Source organism: Homo sapiens, chromosome 3 (assembly GCF_000001405.40).
Source record: "Homo sapiens chromosome 3, GRCh38.p14 Primary Assembly".
NCBI lineage: Eukaryota > Metazoa > Chordata > Mammalia > Primates > Hominidae > Homo > Homo sapiens.
In genome coordinates this window covers 140,225,239-140,253,020 of record NC_000003.12, presented here as the reverse complement: position 1 = coordinate 140,253,020, position 27,782 = coordinate 140,225,239, and the positions used below count along the sequence as shown (strand labels likewise).

The following is a 27,782-nucleotide window of genomic DNA, read 5'->3' as shown; positions in this document are numbered from 1 at the left end:
TGACTGTGAGGTAGCGTGGTGGGGAGGGGTGGGGCTATCCAGAGATTGGCATTAACTTAGCTGTTGGCCTGGTCACCCTGGCTTCCACAGAGACACACTGGCCACACAGATCTAGCCATCACTGGCTTTCATCAGATGAGCTGGGTCATGGTGGAAGAGCTCACAGGCTTTCTCAGCTGCTCCACCTATCCTTTCAAGCCTCTGAGCTACTTTCCTTGAAGAACGTAATCCACTCAGTAAGATGCATCATGCGCCACACAGCTAACTTGCTTGTACCTTAGGCACCTGCCCTTACAGGGTTGTGCTCCTTTTTCCTATGATCCTCTGCATAACTGTGCTTCTCAACTTTCACATGTGTCCAAATGACCCAGAGAGCTTGTCAACATGCATAACATTTTATAATTAAGAGAATTAAGCCCATATATGTTCCAGAGAAGGGAGCTGAGCCTGATTTTGGCAAATAAAGAAACAGCTCTTTCACTTTACCTTTCTGGCTGTGTTTTTCATCTATACGCCCTTCTGTGTCAGGAAAGGCAGAGAGCTTGTTAACATGCAGGTTCTGATTCAGTAGGCTTAGATAGGGCTGAGATTCTGCATTTCCAGCAAGCACTGGATAAGGCCCATGCTGCTAGTCTGTGGACCACACTTTGAGTACCAAGCATCTCTGAGTGCTAGTTCAGGACCCTCAGCGAGGGAGGGCTGCTCAAAATCTTTATGTAGGATTGGAATGTAAGCCTTGAGTTTCACTGTGGAGTTTGCTCCCTACCCTGACCCTTCTGGTCTCATATCACTAGCCTAATCTCTTCCTTCACTGCTCCCCTTACTTTTGTTTCCAAAAATTTCTTTATAAATAAAGTTCATGCCTTGTTGTGTCACTCTCTTGCTGCTCCCCTCACTTTTGTTTCCAAACATTTCTTTATAAATAAAGTTCATGCCTCATCGTGTCACTCTCTTGCTTAAAATTCTCCAATGCCTCTCCATCATGCTTAGAAAACAAACTTCTTAATATGGCATTTATGGCTTGTTATACCCTAGGCCCTGTCTCCCCACTGCAGCTGCCACATCAAACCCTGCAATTCCTACGTGTGTCACAGCTGTTGCCTCCAGGCTTTAAGCACATTGCTGTTTTTTGAAACCTCCTCTTTCCAGCCTATTCCTTTCTTTCAGGCTCCACACAGATTCCACTTCCTCAGAGTACTCAACGCATTCTTTTGTGTTGTCTGTTTACTTCTTTGTTCCCCTCACTGACAGAGCCCCATGAAGGCAGAAACCTGTCCTTACTGTCACATACATAATGTACCATTGGCAGCATGAAGCATAGGCTTGGCTCAAAGGAAGCACTAAACAAGGAAGGAAAAAGGGAAGGAGGGGAAGCAAAAAGAGGAAAGGAAAGGAAAGGAAAGGAAAGGAAAGGAAAGGAAAGGAAAGGAAAGGAACGGAAGCTAAGAGTTGCCGTTATTGACTTTCTTTTCCTCCTGCCACTCCATCAAACAATCAGGTATCAAATGCCAGGCTAAAGATAATATCTTCAAAGTTTCTGAAACATTTTTAGCTCTTTCTGCCAAAGATTCAAGAAAAGGAAATTAGCACTTCAGACTCTTAGTCACAAAATATGCGTTTAATACCTAGGCAAATTACCAATGTATAGCAACAGATACTGAATAAATCATACAGCCCATAGCACTTTTGTAATAGAAGGAGACACTTATGATTATTATTTTGAACACATTTTTACAAATGGAAAACTCAGTGATTGCCTTGCCACAGAAGAGATGCCAAATTTCAGTACCGAGAACAATGAAGTCACTATCTGGCAACATCACTCATTCATTCCTCCCTTCTCTCCACAAAGAAATAGAGATGTCTACAAGGATAGACGCAGAGAAAGCCAGCCAGAGAAGATGTGATTCTGGCCTTCAAAACATTCACAGAGGCAACTACTCACTCCCATGTCCCACATGTGGGCGGCCAACATATGCTTGGCATAAATGTCATGGCATGGACATATCCGCCACATGGAAACCAGTCAGTGAGGAAAAGACTCTTCTCAGAATTCTGCTGCTTAAGAAATGCTTTAAAATTCCATGTTGTCACTTCTGGATTTACTAAAGGTCACACAAAAAGCAATATCTTTTCCACCAAAAAAAAGCAACCTTTGAATTAAGGTCTGCCTAAAACTACATTTCACATTAATGAAGACTGTATTATTAAAATGGATTTAATTTCACTGTTTTACTCTCGAGTTTGGGGGAAAAAAGTGATTAAAGAGAATGCTCCTCTCCCCTTGGGTAGATTTTCACACCCATTTGGCCTAATTATCCCTGGCGAAGGCTCATCCAATTGCAGCTGAATGCAGCTTGACTCTCCCAGTGTGGAGAAATGTCTGTCTGCTCCTCCAGGGGCTGAGGCACTTGCAGGGACAGCAGCTCTGACACCACTCCAGGGAAGCCCCAAAGGAAGAGCATTACATCAAATGATTATGTAAATTTGACTTCTAACAAGTAATTGAAATAGATTGTTCACATTTTTCCCTATGAAAACTTCATGAAACATTAGTCCCAACCCTGAAAAGAGGCAGAGCCAAATAGTGACTCTCAGCTGTAGCCACCGGCCATGGAAATTTTCTCCCAGTTTATTCTCAAGCCATCTGCCCCCATTTCACCATGAAGGTACAGCACATTCTTTGGAAGGCCTTGATGTATGGATTCCCAAAGACAGGACCATATCCGGTTTACTCTATTCCCAGATCCAAGTACGTTGCTCGGCACAGAGTGGGTACCAGTGAACTTGTGCTGAGTGAATCATAACTCACCCATAATCCCTCAGGACACATTTGCTGCGCAAAAAGTTTGGTTGCTGAATAATGTCTATCTTCCTAGTACATTGTGTTGTAGTCTTGTTTGGCTTTATCCCTCCAAAAAACAAGTTATTCTTCAAGTTTTTTGCCTAATAAAAAATTAGGCAAGTATCTCTTGAAAAGGAATATTTGCAATTTCTTAAATTGAAATGACTTGCCTGGCATCCGAGGTCATAATACTTGTCTTTCTGAGCTTTCCCTGCCAGCTGTAAGCCATAAGCCAGGATGTAGAGCTGCATTAATGTTGATGCTGCCTTCCAGCTGTTGCCCTGCGGAGTGAGGGGTTTTTGGTGAGCATTCTAAACTCAGGCCTTTCTAAACCCTTTCTTGACATCTCTAACCTCCTGCACTGTCAAGTTCTCTTGGTTGGGACCCATGAGTTTCAGTAGTTTCCAAGAATGGTAGGTGAAATGCCGATAGCTAAAGTTCATCACATAATAGAGGAAAGAAAATAGCCTTGCATATATTAAACAGTCTAAAGTACAAACTAACTCTTTCCCTATCAGTCCCCCAATCCTCCATTTTCTCATCTGTAAAATGGAGATAATAATGCCATAGAGTTGGTAAAAAGGATAAAATGTGCAAACCACCTATCTCGTACCTGGAATTGTGTAAGTGCCCAATATGGAAGCCATTCGCTGCTATGCCCCTAGCTTAGGTCACATCTGCTAGTTAGACCAGAATCTATAACCATGACCTGCCCCAACCTTGCCTTGTCATTTCCTCCTGAGAGCTCCAGCCCCCAAAGCAACATGGTGCCAGATTAGCCCTCTGCAGAGTGCTGGTCCAAACCACAATGTTGTCAGACTGCTCATACTCTCAGCTGGGCATGGTGATGTGATTTGCAAGGCAATCACTCCAGCCAGAACATCTGCAGCAGTCCATTCATCTTCATCTAGGCTGAGATTTTCAACTGGAGTTACTGAACAGAGAAATAACTTTAGGGACAGGACGGCCTCTCTCTGGGCCCTGTTTGTTAGAGTAAGGCTTACACTGGTAGGGCCTGACTTGTACCAAGCTGGCTGGTGTCTCAGACTCTCCATGGCTCCAGTAGTCATAGGGTTGTGCTCAGAAGCAGCAGGGAAGGAATAGGAACTGTGACTGGGAGCAAAAAAACAGAGACCCTACAGGGTCCTCCCTCCATGCTGCATCTCTCTTTAAATAGATAACTGAACTCCCATGAATTTCCAATGTGTCAGTGCTAAGAGATCCCCCAGAAATCATTTAATCCACTTCTCTCCTTTTAAAATCAGATAAATGGAAGCCCAATGAGAGAAAGTGATTTATCCAAGGTCATATAGTTACTTAGTGGGAGAATTGAGTTTGAAACCTGACTTGAAAATCTGTAGACTGTAGTTCCTTCTGTCTCTCATGTATAGATGAAAATTTTATAATGAAATAATCTTCAAACATATTATGAAAGCACTCAACTGGAGGAATTCTATAAGGACCCTTCATTCATGCAGTGATCCTGCACTAGAGTGAACTGGTAGAGTTGTTGTTACCAGGCCTCCACGCCTGTGGATCTGTTATTAACTAACGAGTCCTTCAGCCCCATCTTCGTATCTGCAGGATGTCAGCTGCCCCTCTTCCAACTGCCAACGATTGTCTTCCTAGGTGCACATTGCTGGAAGCTCCCAGAGTGAATCTCACACAAGCAAGTCCATTGAATGCATTCTGGCCCCCACATCCCTGCTAGAGCCTTCTGCCCACAGGCCAATGGAGAAGAAGCCTTAGCCTCCTCTAGTGCTGCCCAAAACTGCTGCCACTTTCTCCTTTGGACTTGAAGCTGCTGCCTCTCTGCAGACCCAGGCATTTACTACCTACAGGAATCAGGAGAAAGCTCCTTGTTCCTGGTGGTGGCACTTCCTCATGGGGTCCCTAAGCAGTATGGTTTGTGTCTACACTTCAAAATAGCCCCTTTGGCTTTTCCTATATCCTATTATTCTGTGGGCATTCAAAGCTAATGCTTTGCTCTGCGCAGGAAATGGACACAGCAAAATATTTCACATTGCCCTGCTCCTCCATCAGATACCCACAGACAGGTCTTTGAAGATCCCATCACACATACCCATTAATTCCTGCCCTTGGATGCCTGGGAGGCAGCAGGTCTGAAATGTACTGGCATTTGGAACCACCTAGTACTCATACATCCTGCTGGATTAGAGAGGTGACCTCAACCCTGGGAGCTTTTAAAAAATCCTTGTGACTGGCCCAACCACAAACCAATTAAATCAGAGTCTATGGGTGTGGCCTGGGAATCCAAATATTTGAAAAGCTCTGGAAGGCAGGGAAAGTCTTTACCTGTGAAGGTATTTATTAACTGGGGTGAGGAATGAGGGAGCCCTCCAGACTGCTAGAGATGTTCCATCTCTTGCCACATAAGGAGACAAAAGCTTTCTCTAGGAGGGACTGTGAGGGATGGAGGTGTCTTTACTGTTGATGAGCCCCCCACACTGCCCTCACACTCTGTTAGATGGCCGCCTTTCTCACTCAAATGTGACCCCCTTCAGAAGTATAAACAAACACACCCAAGGCCATCAGGGGACAGAACTGCAGCAAAGTAAATAAATCATCTCATTTTGTTTTACTTTAGAGATCCAGATGTTCCCTGCTCTCACGCTTGGTTTTTAAATGAAAGAAATCTACCTGGTATGCCAGTTTGACATTGATAATTTTAGGCATCAAATAAAAGTGGCTTCATGTAAATGTACTTCTGGGCACTATAAGGATGCCAGAGCTTCCCAAAGGTCCCCTGGCCCACAGTGGGGCAAGAGAGGACCAACTCTCCTGTTTTCCTGGAACTAAAGCATTTCCCATGATGCAGGATTTTCAGAACACTAAGAAAATCCCAAGAAAACCTGGATGAGCTTGTTATTTTACCAAGAATTAGGCCATAATTGCTGCTAGTAGTTAGTTGGGCTCTCAGTATAACCACAAAGAGACACAGAGTTAGAAACTAGAGCCCTATGGTACAGATAGAACTGATAACCAAGTCAAGACCCCAACGTCTATGTCAAGGCCCTTTCATGATCTGCAGCTCACTTTTCTGAAAACCAAAGCCCATCTCTCAATGGTGTTCATCCTTAATTAGAAGAGGAGACTTCATAAACCCATCAGGGTGGATGTGTTCTACATTCTGTTTTCTGGAATCAGTCCATAACTATGGCCCCCAGGTATTGAGCACCAGGAATCCTGATTCAGAATCCTCACAATGACTAATAAGAGCATTATTATTTCCATTTTAATAACCCTAGGATTCGGTCCCAAGTCCATCTGAATTCATAGCCCATATCCTTCCTACTGCACTGCTGCCTCTCAGGAGCAAATAAGGAAGCCCTGACATGTAAGCAGCTCCACAGGGAGCTGCTAAAAAGCCCGACACTTCTGGAATTCCTTCAGACACACCCCCTGCCTTCCTACCTGCCCACATATGCCCCTGTTGCTCTCTTCCCAGCCCTTAGACTGATTAGTTTGACATTTTCCATTTCTGTTGAAACTTTAAGAAAATAACAATATCACCAGTGTTAAATGCACTTACGATGTGCTGGGCATTTTGCTATGTATGTTACATTGTTTCATGAAATCCTCATTCTCTGAAATCAGTATCATGCCCATTGTGCAGGCCAGAAAACACAGGCCTAGGAACATGAAATAACTGATCAAGTGTGTACAGCTTCTAAGTGGTACTGCAAGGTTTCTGATTCACATATGTCCGATTCCTTCACCTGGCTCAAACAGGAAGGGAAGCAGAAAGGCCTCCAGACTGTTTCTTTGGACCCATGGTAGTAAAAGATCCCCCAGTAGCAACTGGCCACTAAGAACCACAGTTATTTACCAGGAACGCTCTCTGATTGAAGGGGCAGGAGATGCATTCAATTAACATTTCATGCAGATCAAAATTCATGACTCTCCTGGGGAAAATAATAAAACGTCACCTTAATCATAATTAAAAATGATACTCAACTTTCATCTGATAGGCATCTAAATCTATTTTAGTGTTATTAGTGTGGAAACATTCTCTATCAGTGTCATTCTTGGTTCATAAATAAGCTAAAGTAAAAGCAAAATAAATTTCAAGTTGGAAGGATCAACGTAAACGCATTTTTACAAGTTGTCTTATTTACAGTCGCAGATTCACAGTTTATTGAGTGCAAGCTTTAAAAAATCCACACATATCTGTACAGCATAATAATAAGACTTTTAGGAAATACGAATATCAGTGATACACATGTCCTAACTCAGTGCCACCAGCCATGCAGGCTAGAGCATGGGCCACACTCTAAGGCATTCTTCCTCAGTAAGTGCGAGCTCACAAAGTGCAAAGCCACTGTCCAAAGCCACTGCAAGTCCCTGAAGTCAGGAAGACTGGCACCTTTCTGAATCAGAGCAGGGCACTGTCCCAACAGAAATATACTGACTTTAGAGAAGGGAAAGATCTACTTATTGTGATCTAGGACATTCTCAACTCCAACATTTGTCAGTTGTCACATTTTTTTTGTGGGAGGGCGGAGCTAATGGTCTCTGGGGCATGGCAATGTGTTTATACCTCTAAGCTGTTGACCATACTGCACCCTGCCCCATTCTTGTCACCACAGTGAATTCAGTTATCCTTCCACAATTTGTTTTAGTCATCATCTAGGTTAAGGATTGCACACTCCTTTTTCTTTGCACCTTCCAAGCCTTGTAAATTCATTATCTGTTCCATTTGTCCACAGTTGGGAAGTGCCTTTATCTGTCTCTCTTTCAAGTCCTTGTATTTCTTGGGGATGGTGCTTGGTCTTCTTCATTTCTGTATTCACCATGCTCAGCACACAGCCTGGCACAGAAGCAGTCACCTGAACATAGTCATTGAGTTAAATTAGAATTAAATAAAATTTATTCCACCCTGGAACTTATATCTATTTGTCTTTTTCACAGACCTACTTAGATTTAGTTATTCATTCAGTAGGCATTCCTTCAATACCTACTAAGCCCTGAGGAATAACAGCCGAGTGTAAAACACATTGCCAGCCCTGGAACACGTGGTTATCAAGTTAGAAGACAGATGCCACACATACCAGAATAACTAGATCAGGGTCTCCCGAAGTACCTTCTGAGAAATCAAGACTCTCTGAAGAAGAGGCTCTGTGGTATGAGGGAGGCAAGTTTGGAGTACTGTGCACACCTCCACTTCCCACAGGGGCACCTGCATGTTAGCACAGCTAAGGTCTGAATAGTCCACGGCATGATATGCCATGGCGTTTTCAAACCTTGACATTTCAAACTTTAATAAGCTATAGAACTTTAAAAATATATATAAGGTAAAATTAACATTTTGCTGGAGTGTTACAGAGAATAAACTGCAATAAACATCAAACTGGAACTACAAACTTAATAAGATATTAACACAAATGCAGTATAACACAAATAGGGTATTAACACAAATAAAAAGGGAATCTGTTTGGGAAGGTGTTCAATAGGATGACCTCTCCTTTGGTTAAGTGAGGCCTTGGTCTTGGAGAGAGGCCATTTTCTTACTGCAGTTAAGTTTACATCAATAAACTGTTATTAAGCAGCTATTATGTATGTGCCAGGCATGAACTTAAGGGCCAGGGTTACAAAGATGAACCAGACACTGAATCAAGTATAAAGGCTGAGCCTGGTGCTCTAAGTGCATGAGCGTGGTGTGTGTACGTACACACACTAAGACAGGGACCCTTCCCACAAACATCGTAGCCACCTAGTTGGATGTAGAGTGGAGGAGAGAAAGGGGCACAGCATTTCCTGACGGTTGTAGGGTGGGTCCCATACTACATAATGCCCTGAAAGGCAGTGATGTCAGTTTGGCTTCACACTACAATAATTCCCTTCTAGCTGACTACCACATCACAAAACCCACCCTCATGCAATCAGGTAACCCCTCTCTGCACCCATTCCATTCCTTGCCACATCAGTCAAGTGGTGTAGTCCCGGAGGGCCACATCCAGGTGCAGGCAGTACAAGGAGACCTCTGGCATGTTGCTACATAACCCTGGCTTGACAACTCTGCTCCTGTTAGCCACAACTGAATTCAGATGCAAGCGCTTCTTCCCTTAGCACTCAGCACTGCCAGCCTTCCTCTCTACTTTACCTCAGGCACTTCTGTCAAACAGACACAACTCCTGACAGGAGAGGGACCATGGAATGGGCAGAAGATGTGTGGCTATAGGTCTTGGTTGCACAAAGAGGGGGCAGTTATACTCTGTGTTTTACCAGGCCTGGCTGTAGTCTGACATGCACTGACTGTGGAGCATCTCTCTTGGCCTGTTTTCTCACTTGCGCCATTCAGGGAGATAAACTCTAAGCATGTGCTTCTTAGATATTCATGTGTTTATAAATCACTTGGAGATTACACATCTGATGCAGTAGATCTGGGGACCTGATCTGCATTTCTGGCCATCTTCCAAGTGATGCTGACACTGCTAGCCCATGGACTTCACTTTGAGAAGCAAGACTGTAAGCTCTCCTTGCTCTCTCAGTCTAGAGTGTCCAAGTTTTCAGCCTAGTACAGTGGAGATCTTTAACTGTGTGCCTCAGCCATCAAGCCCAAGTGTGGCACTTTCACTATGTATGGACAGCCACAGGGACACCCATATGACATGCACTCTTTGCAGTTGTGCACACATAGGTGCACAAGCATGGGCCCTCCCTCTTCTTTCCCATGTTCCCCCAAACTTGCATTCATTTACTAAACCACAGGCAAAAGACAGCAATATAACCCAGATGTCTCAGGACACCAAGACCCCTTTATAAAGATCTACTTATGGGGAGGCCCATTACTGACTTATCATTTACCCATCAATGGTTTCTTTTCTGAAGTCTGGATAAAAATATTGAGTCTCAAATTAGCCCTTGGAGAGTGAGTAATCACGTCCTAACTTGGGAAGGGAAGACCAAAGTCTATTTCTGTCCCTTTCCATTAACAGCAGGCTTTACTGTGTGCCCCTCCCATGTCACTGACCTTGTGCTCCACTCTGCCATGACGGGAGAGGGTGAGCTGTGAAACTTGAGAAGGCCTTTATTCCCAGGGTATGGTTTGGAAAGTGGGACTTGACTTACATAATTAGTAATCATATGCTTCCAAGGTTTAGGAAAGAAGAAATGTGCTATGGGCTGCAGTAGCTTGGCAAGATTTCAAGCTTAACAATGAGTCAGGAACAAGGAACAGCAGCAGGTGTTGATGAAAGTGAACACATAGGAAGTGCAGTAGCCATGAGCGCATGTGTGGCTCCTGTATGTGAGTCCCAAATGAGGGCAGCGTGGGACAGCTCAGGCCCTTCCTCCAGGGCAAGGCCATAACGGTGCAGTGTTCCTAGGGGATGCAACCTCTTGAGAAGTGAGCACTTTTCCTCCAGAGGCCATTGGGCAGCAAGGACTCCGTCAGGCCCCATTGCCTCTGTGAATGCCAGACACAGGCATCCTGGGGAATGGGAATCATGTCCTCTCATAAAGCGCAGAATCCCATGAGCTCTCGCTTTGGGTAAGTGCCCGCAGGAGAAGGTGATGGCTGAGTGTCAAAACTCTTGAGGTCCATAAAACCCTGTAGTTCCCAACCAAGTGGAAAAAGTAGGGGTACAGGCCATGACTCTGTCTTATTTTGGAAAATGTTAACTTCCTTGGGCTCTGGGAGGCTGAACTCAGAGAACAGGGGCTCAAGATGAGGCACACCAGGGCTCCAATATGGCTCTTTAAGTAAAAAAATACCCTCAGAAGCTGGTCCATGGAAGACTTAGGGCCACCTTTTCCAATATTATATTTCAAATGTGCTTTCTTCACATTTCTGCTAATGTCTCAAAGACAGGTTTTCATGGGAAGTATTGGGGATGTATTTAACAATGGTGACATGGTTTCTGTTAGTCTTTCTCAAGTAAACTCATTAATTCCTGAAATGGCCAGGTTTCTTCTATTTTTATGTATTTATAAAATACTGTGGCTGGGTGCAGTGGCTCACACCTATAATCCCAGTACTTGGGGAGGCCAAGGTGGGCAGATTACCTGAGGTCAGGAATTCGAGACCAGCCTGGCCAGCATGGTGAAACCCCATCTCTACCAAAAATACAAAAATTAGCCAGCCAGGCATGGTGGCGGGCGCCTCTAATCCCAGCTACTCAGGAGGCTGAGGCAGGAGAATCGCTTGAACCCAGGAGACGGAGGTTGCAGTGAGCCAAGACTGTGCCATTGCACTCCAGCCTGGGCAACAAAGTGACACTCTGTGTCAAATTATATATATATATATATGTGTGTGTGTGTGTGTGTGTGTGTATATATATATGTGTATATATATGTGTATATATATATGTATATATATATGTGTGTGTATATATATATATGTGTATATATATATATATATATCTCGCATATGACCTCTGTAGCACATAAGCAACTGGATTAAATTGTGTGCCTGTCAAAGGCCAATTTTCCTTCCTCACAGGAACACTCCAAGGACTCCATTTGTTTTGTCCTCTAGTATATCCCCAGCCTCCAGCACAATCCTTGGTATACAAGTGCCTAAGCAAAATGTGTTAAATGAATGAATAAATGAATACATAGTCAAGTCACTTGTGCAGAAGAGTCTGGGAAACTAGAATCAGGGGCAAGAGGTCTAGGAACAGTTACAGGACATGAGTCAAGATTGGAGCTAAGTGCAGAATCAGCTCCTTCTAGGTCATTTCTTACATGTTTATTCTCCACGATCTTCAAAAGGGGCCTGGACCACAGATCAAGGTCGGTGGACTCACGAAACATTGAGTCCACTCTCCTCTCCCTCATCCAACATGGATACTAAGATTTAAGCCCTCACACAACACTTTCTTACTGAACATGGACTTACCCTTAGAATATTGGACAAGAGAACATTCCTAGCAGTCACTGCTAATTGATTAGACATGTCAGGAGATATGAAACCTATTTACTATCCTGACCATGGGCAGCAGGGATGGGTAGGCACAATTTGACAAAATGGGTATAAGTCATACCATGAGATGGCACTCTTAGTATTCTTTTCTTGTTTTCTTTGAAATTTTACTATTTTTCTAAAAATATTAAGAACAGAAAGCATAGAACCATAACTACAAGTCACGATTTCTAAGCTGACTTCATGCATTATCATTTTCCATGTCTGTCACCTTGTCAACAGTTACAGTCCCTCATCTCCTGAGATCCTGGTACATTACAACCTCATGATGGTCGATACATGCCACTCCCCACCTCAGCCTCTTAGTTGGTGGCCAGCATCCCATCCAGGAAGAAAAAGGTTCTCTCATGGAGAGGGGATATAAAGGCAGGGACCCTAGTAGTGCCACGTAAAAATCTGGCTGCTTCTTTTACCCCAGCTGCAGAACACCTTTTACCCAATGATCAGTCTTCATTGCTTCAGTCTCTCAAAGTTAGCTTGTTCTGGTCTCTCTTCCTCCTTAACTCTCTATTCTGCTGCTTTGGCAAGAGTAAGGTCAAGGATCACCTAGCTTCAGCAAAGTCCTCACCCCTTGGCTTGTGGGAAGTGTGTTAGCATCCTGGTAGTAAGAGTGCTATCCATCTGTGTATCACTTTACACCTGTATAAATGTTAACTCATCTGTCCTCTCAACAAACCTGTTAAGGTGGTATTATCACATGGTCATCATCCCATGAGTAAATGAGCCTCAGGGAAGGTTTATAATTTGCCAAAGTTCACATAGCTGGCAAATATTACAGCTAGGTAAGGGGCTCAAATCTTCTCTTTCCAAATGTCATTCTCCTTTCACGTTGTCCCATGACTTTTTTTTTTGTTCATGTAACTAGCTCAGTACTATATGGTAGTATTTTATATGTATGTGTATGTGTATGTGTGTGTGTGTGTATATATATATATGTGTATATATGTATATATGTGTATATATGTGTATATATGTATATATATGTGTATATATGCATATATATATATGTGTGTGTGTGTGTGTGTGTGTATATATATATATATATATATATATAGAGAGAGAGAGAGAGAGAGAGACAGAGAGAGAGAGAGAGAAACCAGGTGCAATTAAGGTATAGCTTTATGGCCAGAGCTAGGCTGGAGGTTGAGGAAATGCCAAGAGCAGAGGTGAATTCACAGATGGAATTCCTGTGCTCAGGAAAGGTAGAAAGGCATATCCTGCCCTCTGCAATGATATCCTACAAGACAAAATTTGCTTTTGTTTTAAGATGTCTATTTTAGTTATATATATATACACATATATATACATAAATATGAGTGTTTGTGTGTATGTATACACACATATATGTATAAACACAGATATATATACATACATACATAATGTATATTTTTTCATATTTTATCATTGAAATCATGTTGTATTTTATAATCAATGGCATTTCACAATCTCTGGCCTGGCTATAGTCATGACGTAGTTGTAATTGATAATGTGTACACATCAAAATTTGCAGAAAGGCTTTTAGCACTTGGAGAAAGTCCTGGACACAAAAATGGAGCACTTTTTAGAAAATACTGCATTAGCAATGCCCTTACTGACACAGAGGATGATATTGTGTGGAAAAACTTGGACAATTCTGAATTGAAAATGATTACGAAATTGAGTCTTTGAATACGGAGCTGATTTGGGAACATTTCAACCATTTAATATTGTCTATATTATATTATCATTTTTAAGTATGCAAAAGAGTGATGATATTCATTTATTCATTTTAAAAACTCTTTTAACAAGTATGAAGTAAAATTTCTAAGCATTAAGAAAGCATTGTGTCATAGTTTAGCTGGCAATGTTTTTCCTTTCCTAGTGGTACATAAAATGACAATTGATATCACAGCTTTGATAAATTGAGCTCACATATGTAGTATGTGTATGTAATCATACGTGTATGTATTTGTATGTGTGTATCTATTCTGCAACTCTAACAAAAACAAGCTGCAGGTCTGGACTGAATCAAAATTGTGGAGTTAACTCATTTTGCTTTTCATACCACCAAGCACTCTGTCCTGTCTCCTCACAGCCAGTATCTGGGGATACTGGCAGCAAAAACTAGGGTTACTGAAGCCTTCCTGCAACCCAGATGTGGCCAAAGATTGCTGGGATAGAAGATGAGATAAAAAGTACATTTGAGAAAAGTACAGCAATATTATTTCCATGTGTCACTTGTATTTTCCTCCAAATGAATGCCTTCAATTCAGCTGAGCAATCTAACTTTCCTTTTAGAACCATATCCATTGTATATTACACCATCAATGCTGAACTAAAACCCTGGAATTCAAATCTCTTCTTGCCTTAATCGTTCTATGATTTCAATGCATCACATATTTCTTTGTAGCCAAATCCAAGGCTCTGAGGCATTCTTGAAATAGTCTTTTTAAAGCTGACATTTTTTAATCACCACTAACTCAAATTAAAATGGTTTTGACATGGTGTTCTGAGAAGGCACAGTGCTTAATAACAAACACTCCTCATGTATTAAGCAGGATTAGTCATTCTAATTCTAAAAAGATCTCATAATGAGTGTGCTGCAATGGATGTTGTAAAAGTTGGGCCAAATGTTCTTCTTTTTTTATTCTAATGTCATGAAACATAAAAAGAAAGTTCTACTTCTGAAAATGAAGAGAAATCTCTGATTACCAATTATAAAACGAGATGCAGAAAAAATGGATAGGGTTCAGACTTATTATTTCTTTTTCCTAGTAGAATTAAAATAAATCAAGAATGGTTGCTTCTGGAAAGTATAGATTTTTTTTTTCTGTTCTGTGCAGGAATGTTCCTAAAATAGAAAATAGAGAACTTTACCTAGCTGAAAACCATGCATAATTCAGTGTAGAGAGTGAACCATAATCTCTTTACACTGTTTGGGTAAATGGTTTGTGCTCCAAAAACAGGAATTTTCCAGAGAGCACTGAAAAGTCAGATTATATTTCTATTCAATACAAATATCTGTCACAAGTGGAGGCTCTGGAAATCTATCCTGTGGCCCCAAAGGGTCAGAAGAAATGTCTTCTGTCCTCAGATGTAAGATAGGATGCAAATATAGCATTAGAGTTAATGCCTTAAAAAGCATCCATGATTATCTCTGAACACAAAGATAAGCAGAATGGACCAGTCCCTTTGAATACTGAATAGGTTGATGTGCAAACACATGTTGATGTCCTTGCTCTGTAATTGGGAACTACCAAATTATTAAGATTTTGACTTGATTTACAGAAATGCTTTTGAGACAGCAGAGCCTAAAGTTGAGATTATGACTTCAAATTACTGAGTAATTGTTAACTGTGCAAGCTTGGGTAAATTATTCAATCTCTCTGTGCCTCAGTTTCACCATTTGTAAAATAAATATAAAAACAGTATCTAATAGGACTTCCACTTCATACTATGATGAAATAATAGAAGCTTTCTGCCTTAAAAAAACAGAACACTGCAAAAATGTATTAAACTGGCTGTCAGGTATTGTACAACAGGTAGCAAAAAATAATGATCTCTGAAGAAACAGAAATAAATAAGGTAAATGTTATGTCTCAGCTTACTGCCTGGCAAGATTTTCCAGGCTGCAGTACCAGGAGAGAGTACCCAGACAGAGCTTAGCAGTTTCCCTGCATTAAGAAGTCAGAGTCAGAAGTTCAGGAAGGTTAAGGCAGTTATCATGTACGGGGAAGAGTGTAAGAGAGGAAGGAGACGCATAGCGAGACAACCATGGAGATCTCCAGAAGGTTTTCCTCAAGTCCTTGAGCTCTGATCAGAAGATGCACATGAGAAAACTACCAAGGCTGAGGAAAAACTACTAAAAAGGAGCTGGCAGAATAATCCCTGGAGCTTTTACAGTGCTACAGATAGTTTGTCTTCCCACCAGCCAGTGAGGGAAAGCCTTGTAATGTACGACACATGGAGTATTGCGTCAGTAGTGGGAACAAATTATCTCTAGAAAACAGAACAGAACAGCTGATCTGTTCCCACTTAAAAATGCTTAAAAACAAGTCTTGAAAAGCTCAAACTGATTCCAAATAATTTAAGTGCATTCCAGAACAAAGTACCAAATTATTTCAAAGAATGCATAAAAATCTACTAACTAAACAACATAAAGTTCACTATGTCCAGAATCCAATAAAAAATTATTTGGCATGCAAAGAGTCCAGAAAACATGACTCATGATAAGGAGAAGAGATAGTTCGTAGAAATAGACCCAGAAGTGACACAGATAATGTAATTAATAGATAAAAACATTAAAATATTATAAATATATTCCATATGTTCCAGAAGGAAGAGAAAAAAGGAAGCATGAGAAGGTAAGACAGTGAAATTTATATACACACACACACACACACACACACACACACACACACACACTATATAACATAACATGTAATAGGAAATGAACAAAAACAACATTGGGATTAAAAATATATTGGATGAGATTAAAAACAGATTAGACACCATAGGAGAAAGAGTGGTGAACTTGAAGACATAGCAATAGAAACTATACAAAGTGAAATAGAGAAAAATACAACTGAAAAATTAAGTGAATAGAGCATCGGTGAGCTATGGGATAGGAAGAGAAGCAGCCTAACATACATATAACTGAATCCTTAGAAAACGGGAGTGGAGGCAGGAAAAGCACTTGAAGAAATAATTATTTGAAATTTAGCAAATTTGATGAAAACCATGAGCCAAGAAGAAGCTCAATGAGGCTGAAGTGGAAGAAATGACAAAAACACAAAATACATCAAAATCAACTTGCTGAAAACCAATATTAGAGAGTGACAGTTTTAAATTAGCCATAAAAAGGCAAATTACACATAAACTAAGATTGATAGCAGACTTCTCAGACTTTCCATCAGAAACAATATAACAATACAAGTCAGAAGACAGTGGAACAACATCTTTAAAGTACAGTTTAAAAAATAGAAATTAACTCTTAGGGCTATGTTAAGGTTTAAAAGAGGCAATTATTATTTTAAAATTCTTATAATGGCACAAAAAATTGATATTTAGGTATTTGGTAAATTTTTAAAAATAAAGTCATAGAGTTTCCCAAGGGATACAAGATATTTAGGTGTGTGGAGAGGCCCACAGAAATCACCAATTCCAAATCTGTGATTTTACAGGGTTATTACTTGAGGCTCAGAATGGGGCTAACACTTGCTCAGGGACACAGAATGAGTTGCAGGCAGGAACTCATGGGTCCTCTTGACACCATCTGCTACAGTCACCATCCATGACAAACCATCCTATTTTCTCCAGCTTTATTCCCACTGCTGTTCTTCACTACTATCTCCTTTCCAAACCTCTTGCTTTTGTTAAGCAATGTATTTATCTTCATTTTCTCCCTTCCCACAAATAAACTGTCCTCACCTTCTCTAATCAGCCCCCCACTACCACCTACTCCTCCAATCATAAGGCATTCATCTACTCAGTAGGAGAATGTTTATGAACCCTGGGGATGTTCTAGGGCTTCCCACTTAACCCCTACCTCTCCTAGCTTCACTGGCTGAATAGCTCTGGAATCTGCTGGTACAGACAAGGTAGACAGCAAAGGTTTCTCACCAGAGAATAGTGGTAAGGTAAGCCAGAAGAAGACCAGACTCTATCAGTCATAGCAAACCAGAAGACTAATTAGAGCCACTCAGACCCACGGGAGGATCCCCAGAGCTGCACACAACTGGACACAGCTTAGGTCCTGGTTTATCAGTTAACACCATTATCACCAAGCATGTGCTTAAATTTCTGCCAACACAGACCACTTCTGCTTCAATACCCAGCAGCACTCAAGGTATCCTCTACTGCCATCCTTTTTCTTGGAGGGCTACATGGCTGACCTGGAAAGTCTTCGTGGAAAGGAAAGGGTAATAAGGGTGGCGTGAACTGTTAGGGCCCCCATCTGGCCTTCAGGGTTCAATCATGGGGAGAGAATCTACTATCTTAGGCAATGTACATTAATCAGTCCATTGTGCCCAGCTATGTGCAAAAAGCCATGTACTAAAAGCATGGAGGACACAACGAATATATTTTGAAACTTCGATGTGCTAGAAATACTTGTCATATTATAGTTAATCCTCATAACCACCTTGAAAAATTAATATTATTCCTATTTTGTAGTTGAGGACATAGAGGCTCAGAGAGGCTGAATGACACAGCTAAATAAACACCCAAGGAGATAAGTCTCATATCCAGTGAAGCCACTTCTTCTGGAGTTGTGTGAGCTCCGGGAAAGAGGGGAACTCTGTGGCGGTAGCCATAGTGTCTGTGTGGCTTCTGCAGAAGATGGAGCTGCTGCAGAACATTAAGAGACAGGCAGAGAGGAGGAGCAAGAAAATATAAGCTTGGGAGAGCTACATGGATAAAGCAATGGTGCAAGAACAACCAGGGCAGTACACGGAGCAATAAGGAGACCTGTCAATGGGGACAGAAGGCTGAGTGACATCAGAGCAAGTGAAACACGTAGAGCCACAGTTCTGATCTTCTCACGTAGGCATTGGGATATACCAAAGCCTTCATGAAGAGGGATAGCATGAACGAAAGCAAGCATTAGGAATCTGGCTGTGATAGGGAATTTCTTGTCATGGTACCAGCACACAGGCAAATAAGACCACAACAGCTGAAATATATTAAGCATTTTAAAATAAACCAAACACTGTGATAAGAGCTTGACATGACTCATCTACTCTCCACTATGACCTTGGTAGCTAGATGTTACTTTCATTGACCACATTTTACAGAGGCGAAAACCGAGACCCTGAGAGTTAAGTTTTTTATTTTGTTCCAGTTCACACCATTGGTAAGCAGTGGACCAAATTTAGGCACAGGCAGTGGGATTCCAGAGCCTACCCTCAATGGCCTGGGAACTCAGAGTGTCGTCTAGACAGCAGCAGCTGCGGCAGCAGCAGCATCACTTGCAAGCAGTGGTATTTGTATTTGAAGATCTTTTCCTTAATGAACATGAAAGTACTTACAAAAACATAAAGCTTTATCAAAGAAAAGGTATTAGAAATGCCTTTCAGCCATGGAAATTGGATTTGTGACCGTGACCCTTTCTCGGGTTATGCCTTGCATATTTGAATCTCAGCAGCACAGGGCTGAGTTGGCCCAGATGCTCATGAACAAAGCTCTAGAGCAGGTATCAGCAACCTATTTTTTGTTAAGGGATGAAGAATAAATATTTTAAGCTTTGCAAGCCATATGGTTTCTGTCATGACTACTTAACTCTGCCACTGTGGCGTGAGAAAAGTCATAAACAATACATAAATCTATGAGTGTGGTTGTGTTCCAATAAAACTTTATGAAAACAGGTGGTGAGTTGCATTTGGCCCTCAGGCTACAGCTTGCAGCACCCCATTCTAGAGCACCAGCTGTTCCCCTCTGGAAGAGGGATTGTGGAAGGAGAAAATATGTTTCAAGCTAAACAGATATATTAAAAAACCAGCTGGATGCAGGATATTTCAGTGGAGGGCAAGGAAGCTTTGGATACTGGGTATCTGAGATTAACACCACAAGCTTTAACAGAGTCAAGAAGAGTATGAGACCATTTATGGCAGGGAAAACTTGGCCCATTAATATCAAATTCCTGTTAGATGGGCCCTTTGGAGTAGAAGAAAATGTCATCTAACATATACAATTAATTTTTATGTATTCAGCTTTACTGAATGACTACTATATGGCAGGTAAGATAAATATGGGATAAATAATGAAGTATTCCTTTTCTCAGAGAGTCCATAGCTCGAGGAGGAAGGAAGATACAACCAAACCAGGGTAGTGCTTCCTGGAATGGAGATAGCCATGGGGTGCTGCATGAGCTTGGAGGAGAACACCTATACAGCCCAGAATCCGGGGATAAGGAGCAGCTTACAGAAAGAAGGTCAGCCTCTGTTGAGACCTGAGGACTTGGCGAATGCGGAGTCGACCAAGTGTCAGTGGAGCAGAGTGAGCAATGCATAAAAGCTAGAGGCGGGAGGAAACACAGGCAGTTATAGCAATGCAAGTGCAGAACCAGAGACTTGAGTCTGAGAAGGAAAAGTGGGGTGCTGGGGAGAGGGAGAATCTAGGGTCAGAGTATCAAAGACAAAAGGCATTTACACTCTCTGAAGTAGTGGGGCCCAATTCTTAGGGTAATAGGGTGCACTGAAGCTTTCTAAACCATCAAGAAATTACATCTGCATTTCTCTTTTTAAAACCTAGAAAGCTTGGTACTAAGGATTTCTCCATGGAAAATGGATGAAGTGAGGGGAGGCAGGGCACGACGGAGGGGAGGTCAGTCAGCAGGCTCTGGCAGTCACCCAGGAAAGAGCTGGTGTTCTGAACTAAGCTAGTGACACAGGTCAGAGAGAGGGGGTAGTATAACAAAGAATTATGGAAGTAGGACTGATCAATATTGAGATGTCAATGGTGAAGATAATTAAAGAAGACACTCAAGTTTCTGGCTGAGTAACTGGGTGGATATTGGTACCATTCATTGCAATATTAAATACAATAAGGGGGTAATGTTTGGAGGACAAGTAATAAGTTCAGTCTTAGACATGCTGACTTTGAGTGTCTGGAACAGAAGAGGCCAGTAAACATGCTGAGTGGGTAGGCACATGGGACTAGAACCTTAGCAGGGAGATCTGGGCAGGAGGTTGGGATTTGGAACATCAGCCCGTAGGAACTGTGATCAAAGTCGTGGGATCTCAGGGATAAGATCATACAAAGAGAATGCATAGGGAAAGAAGAGCAGAGAGTCCAAGGGGACCCCTGGGGAGAGATGGGCAGAGTAGGGAAACCATGAGAAGAAAGGAAAAGGGCACCCATGAGGAGGGAATGAGGATCAGGAGAGAGTGGCTAACATTCAATGTCAAGCATGGCTCATAGATAATCTCATGTGATGCATTCAATAACTCTATGGCTAGATCCAATTATGCTAATTTTACAGACAAGGGAACTGGAGCTCATTGGGATATAGCAATCTGACATCTGACCAGGTTTGCAGCATCAATAAGTTTTGAAGGTGGGACTGAACCATGTATTTGCTTTTTTCTTTGAAGCCTGTGTACTTCCATCTCACAAGCTATATCACAGGTTTCCAGAACAGAATTGATACCTAACATTTATTTAGTATGTACTGTGCTGTAGACACTGTTATAGATATTTTAAATACTTTTCCTCGTTGAATCCTCACACTGACCCAAAGATATATAGTACCCATTATCCGGTTACATTATTTCCTCATTTTTCAAACAAGGAAATTGAGATAAAACAAACTTGCCCAAAGTCACAAAGCTAGAAAGTGACAGACATGGGATTTAAACAGAGAAGGTGTGGCTGCCAAGTCTGTGCTCCTAACTACTACACTACACAGCTTGAATTGACCTGAAATCTTTCATTCAGCAAAGGCTAGTTAAGTGATTATCATATACCAGGCATTATGTAAGGTGCTACAATTCAAAAACAATCTAAAACATCACATTTCCTACTCAAATGGATCTTAGAGTCCAGTGCCTTCTATAATTGATTCCCAATCTTATCTAGGAAAGACAAACAACGAAGAGATAATGGAGCAACGTGACATCATAGAGGAGACTTGAACTAGGAACCAGTTGAGAGGAATACAGGCCTCTATCGAGTGCCTCAGTGTGGAGTACTTTTCCACACCTGAGATGAGCTATAATGGGCAACCCAATTTAAGGGAACAGTCACTGTATATTTTAGACTTGCCTTGACCTGAATTTGTCTCCCCTTGTGTGTTTTCCTGTAGATGGTATTTTTGTGATGGTTAATTCACTGCTCATGAAACAGTCTGCATTTTTTTTAAACCGGTTTTTCAATCTCTTTTTGTGATGGGATAGACCTAGACATTTATAACTTAGAGAGTTGGGATTTATGGAGTCATGGAACTCCCGCAGTAGATGATGAGGGAGAATATTGACAGCTCTGGAGCCAGGGAGACGGGAGGGTGTGTCTGCTTCAGTTAGAAAGGGCTCTTGGGTGACATGATGAGATAGTGGGAGCCCCCTAAAAGAAGCTGAGACCTCCCTTACTTAATAGTGGTTCCTTCTACCTCTGGATAATACTTTTCTCACCATGCACTTTGACTGTTATGGTGGTGAGAAAGGTTAGAAGTGGGGGAAGATCTATAAAAGATGTTTCATTGTGAAGAAATAGTTGACTTATAATCAGATAATTATTTTCTTGCTTAAAAACCAAGTTTGAGACCTTTTATTGCCTTCAGAAACTGCCAGGCTGACCTCACGCTGCCAGTGAAGCCTCCTGAGAGCCTACAAGGTTCTTTGCCCTTACAGTGTTATCCAAGACTCCAGGGAAACCTAAATATAATGAAGGAGTGCTTTGGGAGTGATTCCCTGCACGGATACCAGCTTAGCATCATCTGTAGGGTTCATATGATGTCCAAAGGTGGTGTCTTAAATTGCTGTGCCAGTTGGTTCAGGCTGGTATAACAAAATACCATGAACTGGGTGGCTTATAAACAGCATCAATTTATTTCTTACAGTTTCAGAGTCTGGGAAGCCTAAGATTAAAGCACCGGCAGATTTTGTGTCTGCAGAGAGCTAGCTTTCTGTTTCATGGATGGTCTCTTTTCAATATGTCTGACAAGGTGGAAAGGATGGGAGTCTCTCTGGGGTCTGTTTTATAAAGGCACTAATCCCATTTATGAGGGCTCTGCCCTTATGGCCTAATTACCTCCCAAAAGCCCCACCTCCTAATACTGGGGTATTTGGGTTTTACAGTTTCAACATATAAATTTTGGAAAAACAAATATTCAGAACATACAGGCCATATTTACTATTTGAAGCTTGCTTCAAGCACTAGACTAGCTTTAGTCATTGAGTAAATTATAGGTAGGTCTAAAATACCCACTGGTTTGACATATGCCTTTGCTCTTATGATGCTATCCATTTGACCACACAACACTGCCATAGAAAACCTTCCCAACAAGTACACTTGCCTCACAACACTGCAATCAGTATGTAATGTCCCATACATCAGCAACCATGCCAAAACGGCCTCTTTCCCCTGCTTGCTGCGGCCTGATATTCCATCAGGACCCCTTCTATCCATCCATTCCAATCATCCGCTGGCTGTGCATCTACTTTACAAGTCTTACCCTGGGGGTGAGGGGATGAATCAGAAAGATACCTCAAGCAGCTCACAGGCTACTAGAGAAGACAGATGTGAATGCAATAATTCCAATATACTGTAAGAGATTCTATATGGTTGTACTTCAAAACCAAAAAAATAAACTGGGCTACCACATCACAGCCTGCTCAGAGGGACGATCAGGATACACTGTGAGTATGAGAAAAGCTAGCCGACTGAAAGCTCAACATCTCCTTAGGGCAGGAAGGAACCTTCATGGTTAGTACTTAACATTTCAGAGAGCAGGAGCTTCATTTGCCTTTATAAGAGAAGATCTTGACAGGAAAAAGACTTGAAAACTGGGTCTGATGCAGCCCCAGAGGAATGTGTGGAGAAGGTGAGAGCGGGAGCAGGGTTTTAAGCCTATCAGAGTGAGCAGAGCAGCTTTCCCCTTCCTCCTTCACTCACTCAGGTACCTATTTCCTTGCCTGCCTGAATGGGTTTTAGCTCTCCTGAATAATCAGGAGGAGCATCAGTTCAGTTCGTGCTTTGTCAAGTGGAAGACAACATAGAGATCTGAGGCCCAGAGCCCTGGGATGGAGAAAAAGGAAAAGGAGGGTGGGAAGCAGGAGAACTGGGTCATGTAGTGTCCCCAGAAATGTGGGAATGTGGCGTCTCAGACCCCACAGCAGCTCCAGCATCTAAGTGACCAGTTTGGAACACAGACAGTGAGTGGAACAGTGGACTGTTCCTGGATTTTATTACTTTGCTAATGAAGCATTGGTATAAACAGTGTTGAGAAATACTTGGAACTCAGTTTGGCTGAATGCCTTATGTATACATTTTCAAGTACACATCATGAGCTCCTCGTTTCTTCTTTTTAGCTTTTGCTCCAGGAAATCCTGGATATGGATAGGTGGCTAGTTCTCCTTCCTGGGGCTATCTAGGCTCCTGCAATCCTGGAACTCATGCTTATGCTCATGGATCTGCTCCACAGAAGTCACCCAGCCTAGTTCTATGGTGGGGCTCAGGTTCCTCTCTCTGGCTCTTGGGAAGACCAGGAGAATCTCTAATTCCTCACCTCAAGGGACTCATACAGAATGGACACATAATCTTTCTCTTCTCCATGCCAAGGACCAAGTGGTCAACTTTAATCTCCAGCTGATATGGTTTGGCTGTATTCCTACCCAAATCTCATCTTGACTTCCCATGTGTTGTGGGAGGGACCCAGTGGGAGGTGATTGAATTATGGGGGCGGGTCTTTCCTGCTCTGTTCTCATGATAGTTAATGAGTCTCATGAGATCTGATGGTTTTAAAAACAGGAGTTCCCCTGCACAAACTCTCTCTGCCTGCAGCCATCCATGTAAGACATGACTTGCTCCTCCTTGCCTTCCGCCATGATTGTGAGGCCCCCAGCCACGTGGAACTGTAAGTTGAATTAAACCTCTTTCTTTTGTAAATTGCCCAGTCTCTGGTATATCTTTATCAGCAGCATGAAAATGAACTAATACAGTAAGTTGGTACTACAAGAGTGGGGTGCTGCTGAAAAGATACCCAAAAATGTGCAAGCAACTTTGGAACTGGGTAACATGCAGAGGTTGAAACAGTTTTCAGGGCTCAGAAGAAGACAGGAAAATGTGGGAAAGTTTGGAACTTCCTAGAGACTTGTTGATGGCTTTGCCCAAAATGTTAATAGTGATATGGAATATAAAGTCCAGGCTGAGGTGGTCTCAGATGGAGATGAGGAGCTTTTAGGGAACTAGAGCAAAGGTGACTCTTGTTATGTTTTAGCAAAGAGACTGGTGTCATTTTGCCCCTGCCCTAGAGACTTGTGGAACTTGAACTGGAGAGAGATGATTTAGGGTATCTGGCAGAAGAAATTTCTAAGCAGCAAAGCATTCAAGATGTGACTTGGGTGCTGTTAAAGGCATTCAGTTTTATAAAGGAAGGAAAGCCTAAAAGTTCAGAAAATTTGCAGCCTGACAATGAGATAGAGAAGAACATCCCATTTTTTGAGGAGAAATTCAAGCCAGCTGCAGAAATTTGCATAAGTAACGAGGAGACAAATGTTAATCCCCAAGACAAGGGGGGAAATGTCTCCAGGGCATGTCAGAGACATTTGTGGCAGCCCCTCCCATCACCAGCCTGGAGGTTTAGGAGGAAAACATGGTTTTGTGGGCCAGGCCCAGGGTACCTATGCTGTGCACAGTCTAGGGACTTGGTGTCCTGTGTCCCAGCCACTCCAGCTGTGACTAAAAGGGGCCAAGGTACAGCTCAGCCTGTTACTTCAGAGGGTGGAAGCCCCAAGCCTTGGCAGCTTCCAGGTGGTGTTGAGCCTGCAAGTGCACAGAAGTCAAGAATGAGGGTTTGGTAACCTCAACCTAGACTTTAGAAGATGCATGGAAACACCTGGATGCCCAGACAGAAGTTTGCACAGGGTTGGGGTCCTTGTTGAGAACCTTTGCTAGGGCAATGCAGAAGAGAAATGTGGGTTCTAAGCCCCCATACAGAGTCCCTCCTGGGGCACTCCCTAGTGGAGCTGTGAGAAGACGGCCACTATCCTCCCAACCCCACAATGGTAGATCCACTGAGAGCTTGCACTGTGCACCTGGAAAAGCCACCAACACTCAATGCCAGCCCATGAGGACAGCCGGGAGGGAAGCTGTACCCTGTGAAGCCACAGTAATGTAGCTTTTCAAGACCATAGAAACCAACTTCTTGCATCAGCTTGACCTGGATGTGAGACATGGAGTCCAAGGAGTTCATTTCAGAGTTTTAAGATTTGACTGCCCTGCTGGATTGCAGACTTGCATGGAGCCTGTAGCCCCTTTGTTTTGGCCAATTTCTCCCATTTGGATTGGCTGTATTTACCCAATGCCAGTACTCCCATTGTATCTAGGAAGTAACTAACTTGCTTTTGATTTTACAGGTTCATAGGTGGAAGGGTCTTGCCTTGCCTTGAATGAGACTTTGGACTGTGGACTTTTGAGTTAACGCTGAAATGAGTTAAGAATTTGGGGGACTGTTGGGAAGGCATGATTGGTTTTGAAATGTGAGGACATGAGATTTGGGAGGGACCAGGAGTAGAATAATATGGTTTGGTTGTGTCCCCACCCAAATCTCATCTTGAATTCCCAAGTATCATGAGAGGGACCTGGTGGGAGGTGATTGAATTATGGGGGCGGGTCTTTCCTGCACTGTTCTCATGATAGTGAAAGAGTCTCACAAAATCTGATGGTTTTAAAAATGGGAGTTTTTTTTTGCACAAACTCTCCCTTTGCTGCCATCCATATAAGACACGACTTGCTCCTCGTTGACTTCTGCCTTGATTGGGGGGCTTCCCCAGCCACATGGAACTGTAAGTCCTGTCTTTCTTTTGTAAGTTGCTCAGCCTTGGGTATGTCTTTATCAGCAGCATGAAAATGGACTAATACACCAGCACTGCATAGTTTAGGTCCTGTTCCATTATCTAGTCTCTCTTAGGCAATTATTCACATTTCTAACATCTTTTTTCCAACATTTTATTATAAAAAATTTCAAATATGGAGAAAAATTAAAAGAATTCTATAATGAATACCCATATACCACTTTATCCCATATCTATCCATCTATCTAGCTGTCGATCCACCTTATTTTCCAACATTTTCAAATTAAGCTTTTTATTTTGAATGTAATTATAGATTTAAACACAGTTGTATAAAATAATACAGAGAAATCCTATGTGTCTTTTACTCAGCTTTTCCCAGTGATAACATCTTGCAAAGCTATAGCACAATATCACAACCAGGACATTGACATTGATACAGTCAAGATGCAGAACAGTTCATCACCACCAGGACCTCTCATGTTACCCTTCTATAGCCACATCTACTTCCCTCCCATCCCCACCCTGTCTTTAATCTCTGGCACCACTAAATGTTCTCCATTTCTGTGGTTATTTTAAGAATGTTATATAAATGGAATCATGCAGCATGTATGTAGGCTTTTGGGATTGGCTTTTTTCTCTCAGTGTAATTCTCTAGGGATTCACCCAGGTGGTTGTATATATCAACAGTTAATTCCCAAGGTGTTTTCCAAGGCATTTTCACACCCTAGGAAAGCTATTCATAAGCTTGTGTTGGTATCACCCAATAAAATCCCCAGCAATATTATAGAAGAAAACATATTCTTTTAGAGTCCTTTTTTTTTTAAAAAAAATCAACTTATGGAGATTTTGACACTTGGTCATTATTGGCCAAAAACAGTTTGAAAAGTTTCCAGTGTGATTTTCATTTGTGTGAGTTTGAGAAGGGCATGAAAATGTCAGTGTCAAGGCCGGGTGCAGTGGCTCATGCCTGTAATCCCAGCACTTTGGGAGGCCGAGGTGGTAGATGATGAGGTCAGGAGATTGAGTACATCCTTGCCAACATGGTGAAACCCCATCTCTACTAAGAATATAAAAATTAGCTGGGCATGGCAGCACACACCTGTAGTCCCAGCTACTCTGGAGGCTGAGGCAGAAGAATCACTTGAACCCGGGAGGCGGAGGTTGCAGTGAGCCGATATCGCGCCACTGTACTCCAGCCTGGGCGACAAGAGCAAAACTCCATCTCAAAACAAACAAACAAACAAACAAACAAAAATGTCAGTGCCCGTATTCATCTTGCATAAAATATTTGAACTTTATGCTGCACTAAAACAATAAATTGTCTCTGTAATAAGACATGGGCAATTAAACAAGCAAGAGAAACAATTCGTGTAGCTCAAGTCAGATGGAAACAGTGCAACTGAAGTAATGTAATCACACTCCAGGAGCCAGATAATGGGATGTGTGCCCAGGAAAGGTGGCTGGTGTCTCTCTCACCATCACCTGGAAAGGCAGACCAACC

General features: G+C 42.2%; 1 protein-coding gene and 1 long non-coding RNA gene across 3 annotated transcripts in view; both read right to left on the bottom strand.

Annotated features, from left to right (window-relative positions):
- Positions 1 to 27,782, bottom strand: part of CLSTN2 (calsyntenin 2) — a 642,213-nt gene that overhangs the window by 324,377 nt on the left and 290,054 nt on the right. The window lies entirely within an intron of this gene.
- Positions 6,977 to 27,418, bottom strand: LOC124909440 (uncharacterized). Its single transcript, XR_007096118.1, has 2 exons — positions 27,381 to 27,418; positions 6,977 to 7,695 (listed from the first exon to the last, which is right to left on the bottom strand). It is a non-coding gene; the product is annotated as an uncharacterized LOC124909440 (long non-coding RNA).